General features: G+C 44.9%; 1 protein-coding gene across 5 annotated transcripts in view, besides 7 other annotated features; it reads left to right on the top strand.

Moving 5' to 3' along the window:
• Nucleotides 2,278-2,472: a silencer, noted in NCBI's record as "fragment chr18:33083620-33083814 (GRCh37/hg19 assembly coordinates)". NCBI's record gives its function as "represses an EF-1alpha promoter that drives an FKBP-Casp9 reporter gene in an ReSE screen in HepG2 liver carcinoma cells {active_cell/tissue: HepG2}" and the evidence as "EXISTENCE:reporter gene assay evidence [ECO:0000049][PMID:32094911]".
• Nucleotides 7,991-8,260: an enhancer, noted in NCBI's record as "active region_13226". NCBI's record gives its function as "activates an Ori minimal core promoter by ATAC-STARR-seq in GM12878 lymphoblastoid cells {active_cell/tissue: GM12878}" and the evidence as "EXISTENCE:reporter gene assay evidence [ECO:0000049][PMID:35858748]".
• Nucleotides 8,168-17,343, top strand: part of INO80C (INO80 complex subunit C) — a 29,628-nt gene continuing 20,452 nt past the window's right edge. Inside the window, exons 1-2 of one of the 5 annotated variants that reach the window (NM_001098817.2) lie at nucleotides 8,168-8,409; nucleotides 16,743-16,796. In NM_001098817.2, the coding sequence (NP_001092287.1) occupies nucleotides 8,254-8,409; nucleotides 16,743-16,796 (210 nt within the window). In that variant the 5' untranslated portion in view covers nucleotides 8,168-8,253. Of the gene's footprint in view, nucleotides 8,410-8,519; nucleotides 8,631-16,742; nucleotides 16,797-17,343 lie in introns of those variants that run through there. The other 4 variants (NM_194281.4, XM_005258196.6, NM_001308064.2 and 1 more) reach the window with 4 other exon arrangements.
• Nucleotides 8,611-8,730: an enhancer, noted in NCBI's record as "active region_13225". NCBI's record gives its function as "activates an Ori minimal core promoter by ATAC-STARR-seq in GM12878 lymphoblastoid cells {active_cell/tissue: GM12878}" and the evidence as "EXISTENCE:reporter gene assay evidence [ECO:0000049][PMID:35858748]".
• Nucleotides 9,001-9,150: an enhancer, noted in NCBI's record as "active region_13224". NCBI's record gives its function as "activates an Ori minimal core promoter by ATAC-STARR-seq in GM12878 lymphoblastoid cells {active_cell/tissue: GM12878}" and the evidence as "EXISTENCE:reporter gene assay evidence [ECO:0000049][PMID:35858748]".
• Nucleotides 14,108-14,769: an enhancer, noted in NCBI's record as "H3K27ac-H3K4me1 hESC enhancer chr18:33071323-33071984 (GRCh37/hg19 assembly coordinates)". NCBI's record gives its function as "activates a minimal SCP1, AML or CMV promoter by ChIP-STARR-seq in naive and primed H9 embryonic stem cells {active_cell/tissue: H9 hESC(naive and primed)}" and the evidence as "EXISTENCE:reporter gene assay evidence [ECO:0000049][PMID:30033119]".
• Nucleotides 14,770-15,431: an enhancer, noted in NCBI's record as "H3K27ac-H3K4me1 hESC enhancer chr18:33070661-33071322 (GRCh37/hg19 assembly coordinates)". NCBI's record gives its function as "activates a minimal SCP1, AML or CMV promoter by ChIP-STARR-seq in primed H9 embryonic stem cells {active_cell/tissue: H9 hESC(primed)}" and the evidence as "EXISTENCE:reporter gene assay evidence [ECO:0000049][PMID:30033119]".
• Nucleotides 15,497-16,217: an enhancer, noted in NCBI's record as "H3K27ac hESC enhancer chr18:33069875-33070595 (GRCh37/hg19 assembly coordinates)". NCBI's record gives its function as "activates a minimal SCP1, AML or CMV promoter by ChIP-STARR-seq in primed H9 embryonic stem cells {active_cell/tissue: H9 hESC(primed)}" and the evidence as "EXISTENCE:reporter gene assay evidence [ECO:0000049][PMID:30033119]".

Below are 17,343 nucleotides of genomic sequence, written 5' to 3'. Positions count from 1 at the left end.
CATTAATCAGATCAGCTAAACTAAATTCTCAAAAGTCCACACACTGAAGCACATGCCTCTGGTCTTGGGACACCCACCCTGTCCCCACCAAGGCCTCACTCGTGGGTTTCTGTGATTATTTTAGACATATTTCTAACACCTGTGGTGGTTGATCACTTCAGTCCACAACATATTAAAAACAGAAAATCTATTATGTTTATGGGTGTGCTACGGGAGATGTCTGAAGCCAGCCCTTTAATGGCAGAAATGAAATCAGAAGGCAAAAACTCAAACTGCATACTAGTGCAGGGCCATTTAGCATAGGGAGAAATGCCTTATCGACCTGCTCATGAGAGGTTCCTTGCATTATAGCAGAGCACAAAAACTGATGTTCAGTTCACACTGACAATCCCCAATCCTTACAAAAAGTTCAAATCCTCAGTGCAAGTAGATGGAGAATGAACTAGAACTCTTCGGAAAGTGCTTCACAACAGCGTCAGGGAATTGCAAAAGTGAACATGGGATAAGGAAAGGGGCTAGAAGCCACTTTACACACAAGTCCAGGGATTGAGATCGAAAGAGGCAGGGCAGACGCTGAGCCAGGCTGGGACCCCAAGATCCCTGAGAGAACTGGGATGGAGGGCAGGGTGGCTGGACTGGGTCAGAACCCAGTCAACATTTGGGAGCCCAAATGTGAGAGATGAAAGGCGAGATAAACAGATAGGTCATAGGGCATCCTAAGTAGTTTGAGTCTTTCTCTATAGAATGAAGATTCTCTAAAAAACTGTGAGCACATTTCCTCTCTTGTTCTTCCAAACAATGGCCATCGTCTTTCGACAAAGTGAGGGATGGGGACTGTCCCACTATCCTTTGGGTTCTGTCCAGTGCCATGCCAAGGAAGAAGACCGCTGACAGCCCTGCCTGTCACAGGTCCTTTGCCCAGAATGGGTCTCCCTCCCTTGGCCATACCCTCTTCTCGCCCTGCCCCTGTTCCCAGGGCTGGGTCACACCTGGGAGCTGGACTGGTTAGCTCACCTACTTTGGAGCAGCAACAGCAGCAATGTCTAGAGAGGGGTACATATGGGATACCTGGAGGAGGCCTCAATTTCTCAGTCTTTGGGGATTTCTTGGTGAACTTAGACAATGAACATCTCTAAGCTTCCATATTGTCTCTGTTTTATTCCATTAGTGAATGTGCCCAAAGCTTGTGGATTGATCTTCTCTGATACTATCTTAATGTACAGCTGACAGAAACAAGGTGTCACATGTGAATAAAAACAACCAAAACAAGCAACACAGCAGTGGGGGTTAGGAACCATGATGCTGGGGAAAATAATCAAAGCAGGCTGACAATTTAAGAAGGCAGGTGTTGTCACAGCCTGGGGATTAGCAAATTTGAGGTTATGAGAGAGAAAACAGGGAAAAAAATATCAGAGATGGGAGAATTATAGTAATTATAATTGTTTTCTTTCTCTATGGTATGCACAAACAGTAAGTGTTAAAACAATAATTCATTTTAAATAATGGGTGGGACCTCTGGTAAGAGAGAAAGGGACGACCAGTGCCCAGAAGGGGATTCACAGAGGTGGGCAACAAAAGACAGAAAAATACCATCCTGGGAGCAGAATCCTGCCTTTCACAATGGAAGGCAAGCACCCCACTATTTGGAAAGTCCTGTGTCAGCCTTTCTGGGCCATATTTGTAATGTTAAATTGGTGTTTACTTAACAGGCATGGATTTAAGAAGTAATTCCAGTAAGCAAAATGGCCCTTAAAACTATTTTCTCTCCTTCAGACTTTGCAAAGCAGTATTATCTGTTGAGGTCAAAATTCAGAGAGTAGATTGCATGAGTTTGGATGCACCAAGTATGTCTTCCTACTGTGTAAGATGTGCAGTGCCCAACTCGAGGGTTGCCATACATACACACAGTAACCACAATAAAGGGTGCTTCTGGACTTCAGCTGTGCCCAACCTGCCCAAGCAGATGTGCCACTCGGCACTGCCAGGAGGTTTCTCACAGGTCCCTTCTCAGCTCTCTCTCTAATGGTACCTTTAAAGTGTGGCTTTTCCAAATCTTCCTACGACCCTTCCTAAGCCTCTACCACTCTCCCTCCACCTTGCAGGGGTTGCTACCTGTTACCTCTCCTGTTACTGAGAAAACCCAGGCTTAGAGATGGAAATCACATCAACTTTCTGCCATCTCAACTGGATCTCCTCCTGGACCTGCCTTCCCCTCTCCCACTCCAGTTTAAAGGAGGCTGGAGCTCCATGCACCTGGCTTCTGCTCCTCATCTGGTGTCTTCCTACTTAACACTCTGAGCACAGGCCTGTGACGCACAGCCTGGGCAAGAAGCCCCTCTTTCTGGCTCTGCCTTTCCACACTGAGCAGAGTGAATAGGGACACAGGGAAATGTGTCAACCCAAGTCCATGGCTCCCTCCTTTTAGAACATGCTCTGGTGCTTGGGACCCCAGAACCTCATGCTCAAACGGCCCTGTGCCCCCTGGGAGGGCCCCTGTGGACCTTGTCCTTGCACTTGATGTATATCCCCAAAGGCTTGAGGGGGTAGTCAAGAGGTTTCCACAGGTGTACACACATGTTTCCTCCAGATGCCCTGAGGAGTAGGGGGGAAAAGGGGGGCTCAGGGCTGGAACAGCTCTTCCCACCCTACCACATTCTGAGCAGAACTCCAAGAAATCTGAGCATTCTAAATTCAACTCTGGCCTTCTGGGTTATAAAGATACATTTGCCAAGATAGAAGGGTAGAACATATTTTATTTTACATGTTATTAGCTTGCTTTGTACACTTAAATATCAAGGCATATGGTAGGTAGGCCTCCATTTGTACTCTTGCCCTGAACCCTGGAAATGTCACAGTCAGGCCTATTTTCAATTACTCTTTCCAGCTTTTAAATATTTCCATGCGGCTGTCAGGCAAGAAATAGCAGGCAATGAAGTGAGCAAAGGCCTGTCCCCAGCATCCACTGGGCCCGAGCTCTCTTCTGCTCTCTCTATTAATACTGATTGTTTACAATGAGGCACATAGCAGATTGCCACCGAGGGACTGCAATACTCTGAAAACAGCGACAAAGAAGAAACTGTGTCTGCTCAAGTGAGCCTGTGACCCACAAGCACTTACCAAACGATATACTTTGGTCTGTGATGGAGAAAACACAGGCTACTTTAGGAAGGTTCCTCAGAGATGGTGTTCCAGGAATGAGTGCTGCTCTCACACTCCTGAGAGGACTGCCACTGGTCTCTGAGGATTCCATCAGCTTCTCACTGCAATGGGTTTGTTTTCAACTGCACGTCCCCAGAGCTCAGAGTAGACAGTGCACACTAAGCTGCCTCTTTCAGTATCTGGGAGTTGGGGGATTTTGAGCATCTTGACTGCAACAGCTTCAAGGTTTCTTCCCTTCATCAAGGAGTCCCATATCAACTGGAACAGCCATTTTTCATACAGTGAGCATGACTAGCACACTTCACACAAGGTGTCAAGAGAAGAGCAGTGTGTCTTCCATGCAATAGCAGCATGATCCCAAATATCTACTGTGTTTGCTGAGATCTTTGAGAGACAGTAAATTCGGCACTCTGTGTCTCAAGTCATACATAGTAGCTTAGCAGGCACATTATTCATTCTTAATCATTGTCTTAACTGGGATCAAGACTCTGGCTGAGGCTGCTTAACTGGTACACCGCAGTCAGGGCATCAATATCCCAGAGAAAGCCCCAGCAGCCTTTGCCAAAGGAAGTGTGGCATTGGTGAGGGAAACAGGAGCTGCAAGTACCAGGAAGGAAGCTGAAGAGGAAGTGCAAGAGAGGGCGCACACTACGGCAGGGGTGAGACACACCCTGCAAGTTTTCAGGAATAACTGAGGAGGGAACTTAGGGCAGCCTTAGGCCCTGTCTCAACACATAAGCTAGCAGAATGTTGAGTCATCAGTATTAATTTATCTTTACCAATGGACAAGGAAACCCATGAGTTACATATGCAGCAAGTATATGGGATCCTGGTATGTGCCAACACTGGTAGTAACTGGCACTACCACGGTGATCATGGGGCAGGTTTCTCAAGCCAATGTCCTCCAGCATTTCTCCCACTCTCCTTGTTGCTGTCATCTGTTGATGCTCTGCCACTCAATCCCTGATGACTCTGGCAACTGCCTATAGGAAGCTTAAGTCCAGCTGAGAAGACAAATATAATATCTTTCCTTCCCTACTAGAAATGTATGTACTGGGCTACATAGAAAGATCCTCCCAAAAAAAAAGAAAAAAAGGTAATCAACAGGGATTAAATAACTGAGAGAGACTGATGGGAATGTGGAACCAGACCAGAGGAGAGGGAACACTGAAAATGTAGCATGTCAGCCAAGATAGGAAGGGTGCGTGGAATTTAGTGAGACCAGAGGAGGGTGGGGTCGGGAGAAAAGCAGCTTCCAGGCAGGAGGAGCAGTGTGTCAAGGCCTGAGGGAGGAGGGGCACAGCTGGTTGTTGGAACTAACAAAAGTGAAAACTGAGCAGGAGTGCAGGGACCTGGGACAGAGGCAAGCTGGAGAGATGGCAGGTCTCTAAGGACCTTTGGAACCACCTCGTGGACAATGGGCTTCATTCTAGGGACCACAGGAAGCCACTGAATGGTTTCAAGCAGGCGGTGTGATCTGAAAAATGCACATTTGTATCTTTAAAGAAATCATCTGGAATCGCATGTTGGAACTGGGTTGCACGGACCAAAGGTGGAGGCAGAAAGAGAACGCATAAGGCCACTTTGCAAGTCCAGAGAGAGATGGTGGCTGGAATACGGTTATGGTGTGGAGTGGAGGAAGGGGAGGAGTCAAGGATGACTCCCAAGTTTTGGTCTGAAGAACTGGTGGCTAATCGTGGCATTTGCTGAGACAGGAAACACTGAAGGAGGAATCTGTTTTAGAGGAGCAGAGAGGATGATGAATTCTGTTTTTGCCATGCGGAGTGAAAGATGCGTGTAAGCATCTGAGTTTATACTAGGGAAAGGAATTTTACGTCCAGGTATGCTTTTTTTTTTTTTTTTTTGAGACGGAGTCTTCCTCTGTCGCCCAGGCTCACTGAAACCTCCACCCTCCGAGTTCAAGTGATTCTTGTGCCTCAGTCTCCCAAGTAGCTGGGGCTACAGGCAGGCCCCACCATGCTTGGCTAATTTTTGTATTTTTTTAGTAGAGACGAGGTTTCACCCATGTTGGCCAGGCTGGACTTGAACTCCTGACCTCAAGTGATCCACTCGCCTCGGCTTCCCAAAGTGTTGGGATTACAGACATGAGCCACCATACCTGGCCTTGGGTATGCATCTTTGGAGAAAGAGCCAGATAAAGGATGCAAATCTGAAAGTGGTCTGCATTTAGGTGGTAACTGAATCCGCAAGAAATGGTGCAATGGCTGGGGAGAGTATCAACTGAGAAGAGCAGAGGGCCTTGGACCAAGCACCAAGGAACTCTCAATATGTAAGGATTCTGTGCAAGAGTCTGGTTTCAAACCTGGCTGATCATTAGAATCACTTGGGAAACTTTTAAAATGTGAATCTACAGGAGCATGTGACTATATATTTTGAAAAACCTGTAGTAGCATTAGAGACCATTTGGTAACAGAAGACTGGCCAGGAAAGAGGAAAACAAAAAGATGGTGATGTTTCAGATACCAAGGGAAGAATTTCAGAAAGAAAGGAATCAGACAAGATCAGGCCTGAATTTAGTAACAGGAAACCAGATGGCGGTGCATCCACTTGTCTGACTCCTTAAAAGTAGGGAGTTGGTGTTTGAACTCAATAAGGGATGACAGGAAGCAGCCCAGCAGGTCCCCCTGTGCTCACGTGCACAGCGTGAGGACAGGGAAAGGGAAGGGGAAGGAAGGTGTGTCAGATGGCAGAAAGCTTTTCATTGGAAGTAGCATCTGAACTGAGGCAAAATGGATGGTAATCAGGCAAGGAGCTAAGCATTCCCAGGAGAGGAAATAATAGAAACAAAAATATGACAAGCTAAGAAAACATATACATTCTAGGAAATAGAGTTAGTCCTTGGCTGGAACACAAGGAATTAAGTGTTGGGAACCAAGCAACAGAATGGGGCACAGCCCAGTTGTTGTTGTTGTTGTTGTTGTTGTCGTTTTGAGGCGGAGTCTTGCTCTGTTGCCAGGCTGGAGTGCAGTGGCACGATCTCTGCTCACTGCAATCTCCCGGGTTCAAGCGATTCTCCTGCCTCAGCCTTCTGAGTAGCTGGGATTACAGGCGCATGCCACCATACTCAGCTAATTTTTGTATTTTTAGTAGAGACGAGGTTTCACCGTGTTGGACAGGATGGCCTTTATCTCCTGACCTTGTGATCTGCCCGCCTCAGCCTCTCAAAGTGTTGGGATTACAGGTGTGAGCCACCGCGCCCGGCCCAGAGCCCAGTCATTAAGGACCTTGTATGACAAGCCAAAACGTTCTTACCCTGAAGGTAAAAAAAAAATTTTACCCTGAAGGCAAAAGGGCCCTGAAGAATGTAAGAAAGTAAGTGGTATGATTATATTTGTAATTTAGAAATCCCATTCTGGCAGCCAGTGTGAAGGATGGTCTGGGGTCAGGAATGGATAAGGGAAAGATGGCGGCCGAAACGTCCATCTGGAGGCTGTTGCTGAGATGTAGACATGGGATACAGATTCACCAGGGCAGGAGCCGTGAAGGAGAGAAGCGAGCTGAGGAGGTGAGGAATGGGAGGAGGTGGGGACAGTAGAGTTTGCTTAGGTGACTGGCTTGTTGGAGGTGAGTCCTTGAGTTAAGGAATGAGGAAAAGACTAGCTTTAGATGAGGATAGGGATGGAGATGGGGTGTGGGAAAGAACATTTCAACACTGGTAGGCTTATTCCTTTCTCTAAAGGAAAAAATATGTCAGTAACAATATTGCAAGTTTCCCTAACTGCTCCTTCTCTCTCACCTCTAAGTCATTGTGCAGCCTGTTTATTTCAAATATCAAGACTCATATACATCAACTTCCTGTATTCAAACATAGTAGCTTCCACCAATCACTGCAGGGAGTTAGTTCATTCGTTAAATACATCATTAAAAATACTTATAATGCACCAATGACTTGCAAGGTACTGTGATTGGGGGGACTGATAAGTTAACAAGACATAACTGACCCTTCCCTCATACAGATTACATTCTAGCAGGAGCCAAAAAAGACATTAACCATCCGATTATAAATCATTTAGTTATATGATGTCGCAAAGGTTCTGTAAAAATATAGGGTAGAATGAGGCAAAGAACAAGGCGGGTAGGGGGACTCAGGTTCCTAAATAGGTTTTAGTAGATCTGTGACCTCCCTGAAATCTGTAAAATTTTGTCTGTGTCTGTATACATTTAATGGGGTGGTGGGGAGGTGGGGGTGTGCGGCAGGGATAGGAAGCACAGATTCCATGCTCAAGAGTCTGTGAATCCTAAGAGATTAAGAACCGGCCGGGCGTGGTGGCTTACGCCTGTAATCCCAGCACTTAGGGAGGCCGAGGCGGGCAGATCACCTGAGGTCGGGAGCTCGAGACCAGCCTGACCAACATGGAGAAACCCCGTCTCTACTAAAAATACAAAATTAGCCGGGCATGGTGGCACATGCCTGTGATCCCAGCTACTCGGGAGGCTGAGGCAGGAGAATCGCTTGAACCCGGGAGGCGGAGTTTGCAGTGAGCCGAGATCGCGCCATTGCACTCCAGCCTGGACAACAAGAGCGAAACTCCGTCTCAAATAAAAGAAAAAAAAAAAGGGAGAGATTAAGAACCACTCTACCCTTCATGTCCATTTGGGCGCTATTTATATACAAACCTTTTCCGCGTGGGAAGGCAGGGAGGGATAGAGGGAGAAGCCAGTAGCTTGGCGGTCTACTGAGAACGACCCCAGCTTTAGGCTTACAGACATCAAAAGTAATCACTCTTCTATATGAGAAAAGACAACACGCTCATTAATTTTTTAAAACGTAGTTACTTAAAAAGATTGGGAGATTTTCTATTCCTCTATCAATGGGGATTTCCAGGCACGTGCCCCACCCAAGGCCCACGCCCAGAGCGCCCGAGTGGCAGGACAACGCCCGCTGACATCTTCCCGTCCCGACGGCACAGGCTACTCCGAGCTCCGCCTTTTAGATTGCACCGAGAGAAGCCAGCTACAGCTTGGAGTCCAGGCCGGGTTTTCAAGCATCAAGACGGAAGTAACAGCGGAAAGGAAGTTCCAAGGCCCGCGCTGGGAAAAAGGTGGGGGGACCAGGGGAAGACTCGGAGTGCGATGGCGGCGCAAATTCCAATTGTGGCCACCACTTCCACTCCCGGAATAGTCCGGAACAGCAAGAAGAGGCCGGCCAGCCCTTCCCACAATGGCAGCAGCGGCGGGGGCTATGGCGCCAGTAAGAAGAAAAAAGCGTCCGCTTCCAGCTTTGCGCAGGTACGCAGTCGCGCTCCCAGGCTGCGCGTGCGCGTCGCGAAACGGGACTTGGCGGGGCGGAGCCGAGCCAGGGCGCGTGCGTAATGTGGGGCGCTGCGCGTGCGGTCTCCGTTGGGGTTGAAAGACGCTGCCCCGCGGAGTGAATGACTACTCTTTCCCTTCGTTTGGACACATGGGCTTACAACGCCTTGTGTTGTAAGGAGAGAAGAAGAAGTAGGGAGGTTATTACTGACTTAGTATTAATAGAAGGACTGCCTCTTCCCCTCGAGGTCGCCTTTAGCATGAGGTTCAGGACTAATGAGTGTCAGTCATTCAGAAATTTGCGTGTCTTCCCCTCGTCCATTCTGCAGACATCTACCCAGTGTCTTTGAGGCGCATAGCGCTGTAATGTCCTGCATGGATGAATACAAGATGTATTGATAAGTATGCTTTCTCTCATCCTGAGAAAAGTGCTTTTTTGACCCTGGGTTTCCCAATCCAAAGGCAGGTTTGGTCTTAACTCATGGGCTTGTTAAGGTTATGAAGTAATGAGTGTAAAGGCACTGAGCTCAGCGCCTGGCTCAGACGTCAGGGCCTCTGAACAATCTAGGTTCCGTAATTCCAGCAATGAATTTTCAGCAGGGAGTGGCTTGATTAGTGTTTTCTCTGGCTCCTGCATTTTATTCAAAGCAAAAAAGCAGAGATAGAGTGTGTTACTTTGTGCTCCTCAGCATATGGTGTGACACCACCGTTCACCCAGTCAGTCAGTGGCTGTTCTAGAAATCTTGTTCCTTCTTCTGTAGGTGATTGGTAGTGCTTTTTATTTTAACCTTTTAATATTAAATACTTTGCTATAGTAAGATTTACACAGAGTACAATGCACAAATTTTCAAGAATACTGGCTGAACCACAGATCTTCAAGAATCCTGTCTCACGCCTGTATCCCAGCACTTTGAGAGGCCAAGGTGAGAGGATTGCTTGAGGACAGGAGTTCGAGACCTGCTCCCCAACCCCCATCCAAATTTACAAATAGCTGGGCGTGATGGTGCACGCCTTTAGTCCCAACTACAAGAGCATCACTTAAGCCCAAGATTTCAAGGTTACAGCGAGCTATGATCGTGCCATTGCAGTCCAGCTTGGGCAACAGAGTGAGCCTATCGCAAACAAAACAAAACAAAACAAAACTACAGATCCAGTGCCCTTTTACATTTGTATACACCTATGGCCACTGCCTGGATCAAGATAGCATTTCTAAGAGCAGGTGACATTTTCCTGTCAGTACTGTCTTTCCTTCCTAACAGTTACCCACTGTTCAGCCACCCTTCACAATAGACTGACTTTGGGTTGGAACATAATATAAATGGAATAATACAGGACAATAGGGAACATATTCTTTTGCATCTGTCTAGGTTCCTTTTTGAGACAATGTTTTTGAGAGTCGTTTAGTACATCTGTTGCATTGTATAAACATACACCCGATGAATATTTGAACGTTTACAGTTTTTGGCTTTGTGCAGAAGCTGCTCTGAACATTCTTGTACAAGTCTTTGTGTAGATAGATGCTTTCATTTCTCTTGAGAAGTAGTGGAATTGCTGAGTCAGAAGGTAGGCATACATTTAACTCAGTAACTGTTAAACAGTATTTCTCAAAGTAGTTGCACTGTTTTTGCATTCTTACCGGCAAAGTATGAGAGTGCCAGTTGCTCGAAATCCTCAACAATACAGAGTATTGTCAGTCTTTCATTGTCAGTCTTTAACTTTTAGCCATTTTGTTGAGTGTGTAGTAGTATCTCCTTGTTTTAATTTGTTTCTCTGATGGCTAATGATATCAATCACTTTTCATGAGCTTGTTGGACATTCCAGATCTTTTGTGGAGTGCCTAATTATTTTTTTCTAATTGGCTTTTAAAAAAAAATTATATTGATGTGTAGAAGTTCATTACATTATCTTTCTTGATTAGACTCCTTTGCCAGATGTATGTATTGTGAGTAATTGCTCCCAGCCTGCGACTGGTGCGTTTTGATAACCAGTTGTGCCAGGACCAAGGAGTGTCACTAGGACATATGGGTAGGAATAATTGTTTTGACCCCAAAGGGATTGTTGATCAACTTCCACTACCACAAGCTTCTGAAAGTGGTCAAATGCCTTCAGGAGACTGGAAATTCCCAGTAATCCAATATGGTGGAAATCTTAACTCTCTATTCCCTCTGGGCCTTTTTTGTATCCAAGCAGCAGCCTCAGGAGAAGCTGGAAAGGGCAGAGCATTTCATGAAATAGTGCCTTCTTTTGTCCTGACTCTCCTTTTCCCAACTGATATTTACTAAAGAAGACAGGGTCTTCTTCTGTCACCCAGGCTGGAGGACAGTGGCACAATCATGGCTCACTGCAGCCTCGACCTCCTGGCTCAGTGGATCCTCCCACCTCAGCCTCCCAAGTAGCTGGGACGACAGGTGCATGCCACCATTGTATTTTTGGTAGAGGTGGAATTTCACCACATAACCCAAGCTCGTCTCAAACTCCTGGGGTCAAGCAATCTGCCCACATTGGCCTCCCAAAGTTTAGGGATTACAGGCATGAGCCACTGTGCCCGGTTGTCTTAGATTTTTGCCTTGCTGTGATCCTTTCATTCTAGTTCCCTTTTCACAGCGTATAGGAAATAAGCAGGCATAAGCACAGTACCCCTGAGGGCTGCCAGGAATCTTCTTGAGGTCACCCTCATCTGTGTCACTTGCCCAACCTTTCTGTTCTGTTTCAGTTCAGTTCATGTAGCAGTAATTTATTGTACTGTTTCTGTTCCATCCCCAGCAGTATGCTTAAGACATTTCAAAGGATTATAGCTTGTCCCCACACTACCAAAAACATCCCAGGAGAGAATGACGTATATACATTGTGTTTAGTTTTCTACTGCTGTCATTACAAATTATCACAAATTTAGTGGCTTAAATAACACTCATTTAGTAGCTCATGGTTCTGTAGGTCAGAAGTCCTGACACAATGCAACTGGGTTGACTCTCTGCTCTGGGTATCACAAAGCTGAAATCAAAGTGTTAGCCGAGTTCTTGTCTGAAGGCTCTGGGGAGAAATTTGCATGCAGGTGAATTCAGGTTGTTGGCAGAATTCTGTTCTTTTGGGGCGGCAGGACTGCAGGGCCCCTGTCTTCTTGCTGGCTGTCAGCTGCTGCCCGTGTTCCTTGCCACATGGCGTTTTCCATTTTCAGAGCCAGCTATGGAGAATCTCCCTTGTGTCCAATTCTTCTCATGCTTCAGATATTTCAGACTTCTTTTATTGCTGACCCCTGGACTCAGATTTAAAAGATTTATGTGATTAGGCAGGCCTACTTGGATAATCACCTTTTTTAAAAGTCAGCTGATTTGAGACCTTAATTACATCTGCAAAACCCCTTTGTAGCTGCACCTAGATTAGTGTCTGCTTGAATAACTCGGAGAAATTGTGTGCACACCAGGGGCAGAGTACTTGCAAGGTAGCAGGGGTGTACTGGAATTCTACCTATCACACAAATGAAACCATTAGGAAGATATAGTAATGTCTAACCTTGAGCCAAAGCTAATTATAGGTAATTATAGGTGTTGGTGCCCTATTGTGGTGAGACACAGGAGGATGATTCCTCAGTGCTGGTGATGGTACTCAAAGGAGAGGTAGGGAGGCAGAGGGACTTGAAGTTGGCTTGGAGAGGTTTGCTGGAGAAGGCATTCCAGGTTCAGAGCTGTGCTCATTGTGAGATTAACCCAGGTTGCCCAAGGTTCCCTTAGTGGGGAAGTGAGTGTTTTTCTATAAATGATTGTATTTCTTGAGTTAGAGGAGATTTTATAGGTCTTTCATCACGTAAATTTCCCTACGTCAGTAATTTTAGCTATTTTGATTCTTAAGTAAAGGCAAAGTATGTAAAACTTTCATGGAATTTTAAAATTTACAAAGCACATTTACGTGTAGGACATTAGAGTGCCTTTTGAGATTGTTAAAGATAACTTGAATTATCATGGATTCTTAAGGTGGGTTTAACTTTCCTGAAATATGCTTGCTGTTTCTAAAGTAAAATTGAGTGCTTAGTTGAAATTTAAAGAAGTTTAGAAATTTAGATGCTTAGAAGTCCTGAGGAGTTGAAGGGAATATTTTTCAGCTAAAAGTATTCTGAGAAAAGCATTTATAGAAGCCTTCTTTACATCAGTGTTAGGAAATACTATTAAATAATTTAGTAGTACAAAAACAACTTTGTTTTATCATTTCATCAAGATGGCTCTCTCTAGTTCAGCAGAAATTACTACTAATGTTCATGCTTGCTAAGGGGTGGTACAAATCATCTTAGAATCACAATTCTGTGGATTTATATTTTCACTATAACAGTTGTTGATTAATAATGTTATGAAAGTGCAGTCTTCCATTCACTCTGGTTGTTACTTTGAAGGGATTAATTTTGGTGGGTTGGGGAACAGATAACTGTTAAAGTGAAAGGAATAAGGATAAATAATAGTAATTAATATTTATCAAGCATTTACTACATGCCAGGCACTGTTCTATGTACTTTCTAAGTACTATGTCATTTAATTCTCCAAACGACCCTCTGTGAATTGATCACTTCATTTTACAGATAAAAACGCCAAGAGCATAGAGAGACTGTGTAACTTGCCCAAGCTCACACAGTGTTAGTGTCGGGATTCGAACCCAGGCATGCCGTCCAGAGTCTACATTCTTTTTTCTTAACTGCCTCTCTTGATATCACTCTGTTACTTTGTATATTAGAAGATTATTAATTAGATCTCTGGTATAACCAAATTCATGGTACAGAGAAATGCTTTTGGCAACAGTTTTACTGAATCAATATAGGGTAATTTAGGCTTTTCAAATGTGTATTAAAGTTGATAAAATGTACTGAGAAATCTAATTAACCTATAGACTGAGAGTTACTTAATAGCCTCTTCATTTGTGAAGCAGCTAATAAAACATCTAAAGTGGAGAGGCAGTAGTTGCATCTTTAGGAGGATAGGGCAGATAATGAGAGAATCTTCTGTAATTGGAGGGGCAGCCAGATAATGCTGGACTGATTTGGTTTATTCATTGAAAAAATAGTCATCCTACTATTCAACTTTTGTAAAACACAAAAGTAAAAATTCAACAAATCCTGATAATTTTAAGTCTTAAAAGTTATTCTTTTCTATTTTTAAAATTACCTTTTTTTTCATTTTTAAAATTGACATAAAAAGTCACCCAATCTCCTTCCCCAACAACTATTATAATTTGTGTTTTCTACATGTAGATACAGTTTTTCATCATTATATTTGGTATATAGTATTACGTGCCCCGTTTTTCACTTAGCATTATTTTGTGAACATTTCTATGTGTTGATAGTCTTCTCAATTAGACTTTTAAAAGTCAAATAGTCTTTTATGACTATTGACTGCATTATATTCCAAGGAATTAACTACTCATATTTAATTGACTTTATTATTGGATATTGAGGTTGCATTTTGAATTTTTGCTGTTTTAAGTAACCCTATAGTAACCTTGCAGTTTTAGACCAGGGTCAGCTATTTGCATCTATAATTCTATGACATAGATATAACTTGACATTTGACTTTTCAGTAATAAGACAAAGGATATTTTTCTCCTTTCTTTGTAACCACAGACAGAATGTCCAAATTATCCTTTAGTCTGATTCAGAGTCAAGCACACTACTGTCTGGAGAGATGAAGCCATTGATTTGGGTTCTTCAGTTGGGCAGAGCAGAGCAGGGCGAGACCCAGGCCTTGTGAACTCCAGTCTATTAGCATAGGCGTGTGTTTCCTGAGTAGCAGGCTGGATTTCTCTTCCCTGAGACTTACATCAGCTCTGTTAGTGCTGCAAAGAGGGGGCGCCCCTTAGTGCTAGGCGTTCCTTCCTCTCCTCTTAGGGTGTTCATATCTTGGGGCGGGACAGTTCATCTTGTAAAGTCCTTAGTGATAATAGTGCTTTAGTAATATGGAAATGATGCATCATTTTAATTTTATCTTATTGCATCCAAGCCTCACAGACTTGATCTTCCCTTTGACTAAAGGTCTGTCTCCCTCTCATCCTGTTGTTAGTAGACACAGGAGTCTCAGCTAGGCTAAGGGTGTAGTAATGTGGGGGTCGGGGGAGAGGAAAGTGAAGCATAAAACCAGCTCTGGCCTGGGGCAGGGGTGTCTCTGGTTAGAGAAGGAAGGGAGCCTGCCACAATCTCAGAAGCAGGAGGCAGCACTGGTATGATGTGGCTCAGTTCACTCCAGGGTGGCTTCCTTTCTCTGCCCTCTCTTCAGCCTGACTTCCCAGCGGGGGTCTGGCAGAGGATGGAGTGAGCAAGCCGGCAGGAGGGGTCCCTTTCAAAAACCAGTGCTTCCGTGTGTCATTTTCATCCTCTTCTTGACTCTTCTCTAGCTTGCTGCCTGGAATGGCTGACTTAGACCTCTGGTCCTCTCTTCATTACCACCCTCTCCTTACTCTCAGCAGACGTGCTTGTCTGCCTGAATCTAACGAGGGCCCCTGTCTGGCATTTTTCTCCCCTGTCTCCCTGGGGCCTTGGAACTAAACGCCTATGTCAGAAGAATCCCCCTGTATTGCTTTCCTTTCATTGGGCACACAGCACCTTTGAGCTTCCTCACTGGGATTGGGGAAGTGGAATAAACTGAAAAGGAGAAATAACAGTATTTGGCCAGGCGCAGTGGCTCACACCTGGAATCCCAGCACTTTGGGAGGCCCAGGTGGGCAGACCACTTGAGTCCAGGAGTTCGAGACCACTGTGGGCAACATGGTGAAACCTTGTCTCTACAAAAATACAAAAGTTAGCTGGGCATAGTAGTGTGCACCCGTAGTCCTAGCTACTCATGAGTGGGGGCTGAGGTGAGAAGATGGCTTGAGCCCAGGAGGTTGAGGCTGCAGTGATCTGTGATTGTGCCACTGCACTGCAGCGTGGGTGACAGAGCGAGACCCTATCTCAACAACAACAACAAAATAATAAAAAAAGAAATGCAGTTTTTGAACATCTCTGGAGTGGAAGAAAAAGCGAACTCCACTGCCTGAGGATAGGACCCTGGGAGCTGGCAGGTATGTGGATGGTTCTGTAATCGCTGTTGGAAGCTTTGGGGACTGCATTTTCCCTTTCCCTTTAGTGTGTCCTTTTTGCTCTTTAACAGTTCAGATTGGTTTTTTCCTCCCTGATGGCAACAGTATTATATCAGTAGTCATATTCTTTATGAGAAACTCAAACGATAAAGTTGAAACTTAAAGCATATCTGGCCCCAGGAAATCTCTTTCATAGCCTGTTTACCCTGAATTAGACCTGAAGTTGTCCCTAGTGGGGGTGTTTTGTTTTTCTTTTGACGTGGTGCTTACTGGATAGCTCTCAGGGTTATCTCTCCTGCTAATTTAATTTAGGCCACTCGTAGGCCCAGTCTCCTGACAGTCCAGGGCATTGAGTAGTCCTGTGGCACACTCTATGAATGGTTAGATGATTGGGAGAATGGTTGCTTTCCTTCTGCTAATGCTGGCGGGTCTCCTTGGACCGGCTCACCCCATGTTCCTTCCAGTGGGCCTGGGCTTTCTCCTTTGCCTTTGTACCACCACCTCCTGAAAGAGCGATCACTTGTCACCCTTCCTGCCCTGCATGCCAGCTCCACCTTCCTTCTCAGGAACCAGGAGTCATGACCTCTGGCTCATTCGCAGCTGGGTGTGCCTCTTGGGGAGGCTTCACTTGGTCACTGTATTTTTTTTTTTTAATCCTCTAAATATTTCAGTGTGAATTTCTTAAAACCAAAGTCATTCTCTTACATAAGGACAGTTAGGAAAGACCGTGCATGGGGGAAAGATGAAGTGAGGGGCAGTCCAGACAGAAGAGGGGTGTTAACAGAGGAGGGCCCAGATGCCCACATGCAGAGGCCCTGGAGAGGAGTGTGGGAAGGTAGTGAGGAGAGATCATTCCAAATTTTATCAAATTCAGGAAGTTAACTCTGATACAACACTGATATTTAATACACAGACTTTATTCTTGTCCCTTATCTGGTTCAGAATCCAATCCAGGATCACACGTTGTATTTAGTTGTCATATCTTTTTAGTCTCCTGTAATCAGAACACTTCCTTAGTCTTTTTATCTTTTATGACTGATATGGTTTGGCTGTGCCCCTGCCCAAATCTCATCTTGAATTGTAGCTCCCATAATTCCCATGTGTTGTGGGAGGAACCCAGTGTGATATAACTAAATCATGGGGGCAGTTTCTCCCATACTGTTCTCATGGTAGTGAATAATCCTCACAACATCTGATGGTTTTGTAATGGGAAACCCCTTTCACTTGGTTCTCATTCTCTCTCTTGCCTGCTGCCATGTAAGACGTGCCTTTCGCCTTCCACCATGATTGTGAGGCCTCCCCAGCCACGTGGAACTGTGAGTCCATTAAATCTCTTTTTCTTTATAATTTACCCAGTCTTAGGTATGTCTTTATCAGCAGCATGAAAATGGACTAATACAATAAATTGGTACCGGTAGAGTGGGTTGCTGCTGTATGTAAAGATACCCGAAAATGTGGAAGCAACTTTGGAACTGGGTAACAGGCAGAGGTTGGAACGGTTTGGAGGGCTCAGAAGAAGACAGGAAAATGTGAGAAAGTTTGGAACCTCCTAGAGACTTGTTGAATGGCTTTGACCAAAATGCTGATAATGATATGGACAATGAAATCCAGGTTGGGGTGATCTCAGATAGAGATGAGGAATTTGTTGGGAACTGGAGTAAAGGTGGTTGTTGCTATGTTTTAGCAAAGAGACTGACAGCATTTTGCCCCTGCCCTAGAGGTATGTGGAACTTTGAACTTGAGGGAGATGATTTCGGGTATCTGGCAGAAGAAATTTCTAAGCAGCAAAGCATTCAAGAGGTGACTTGGGTGCTGTTAAAAGCATTCCGTTTTAAAAGGGAAACAGAGCATAAAAGTCCAGAA

Source organism: Homo sapiens, chromosome 18 (genome assembly GCF_000001405.40).
Source record: "Homo sapiens chromosome 18, GRCh38.p14 Primary Assembly".
NCBI lineage: Eukaryota > Metazoa > Chordata > Mammalia > Primates > Hominidae > Homo > Homo sapiens.
Note: the sequence above shows the minus strand (reverse complement) of the source record. Positions and strands in the feature narration are given on the sequence as shown.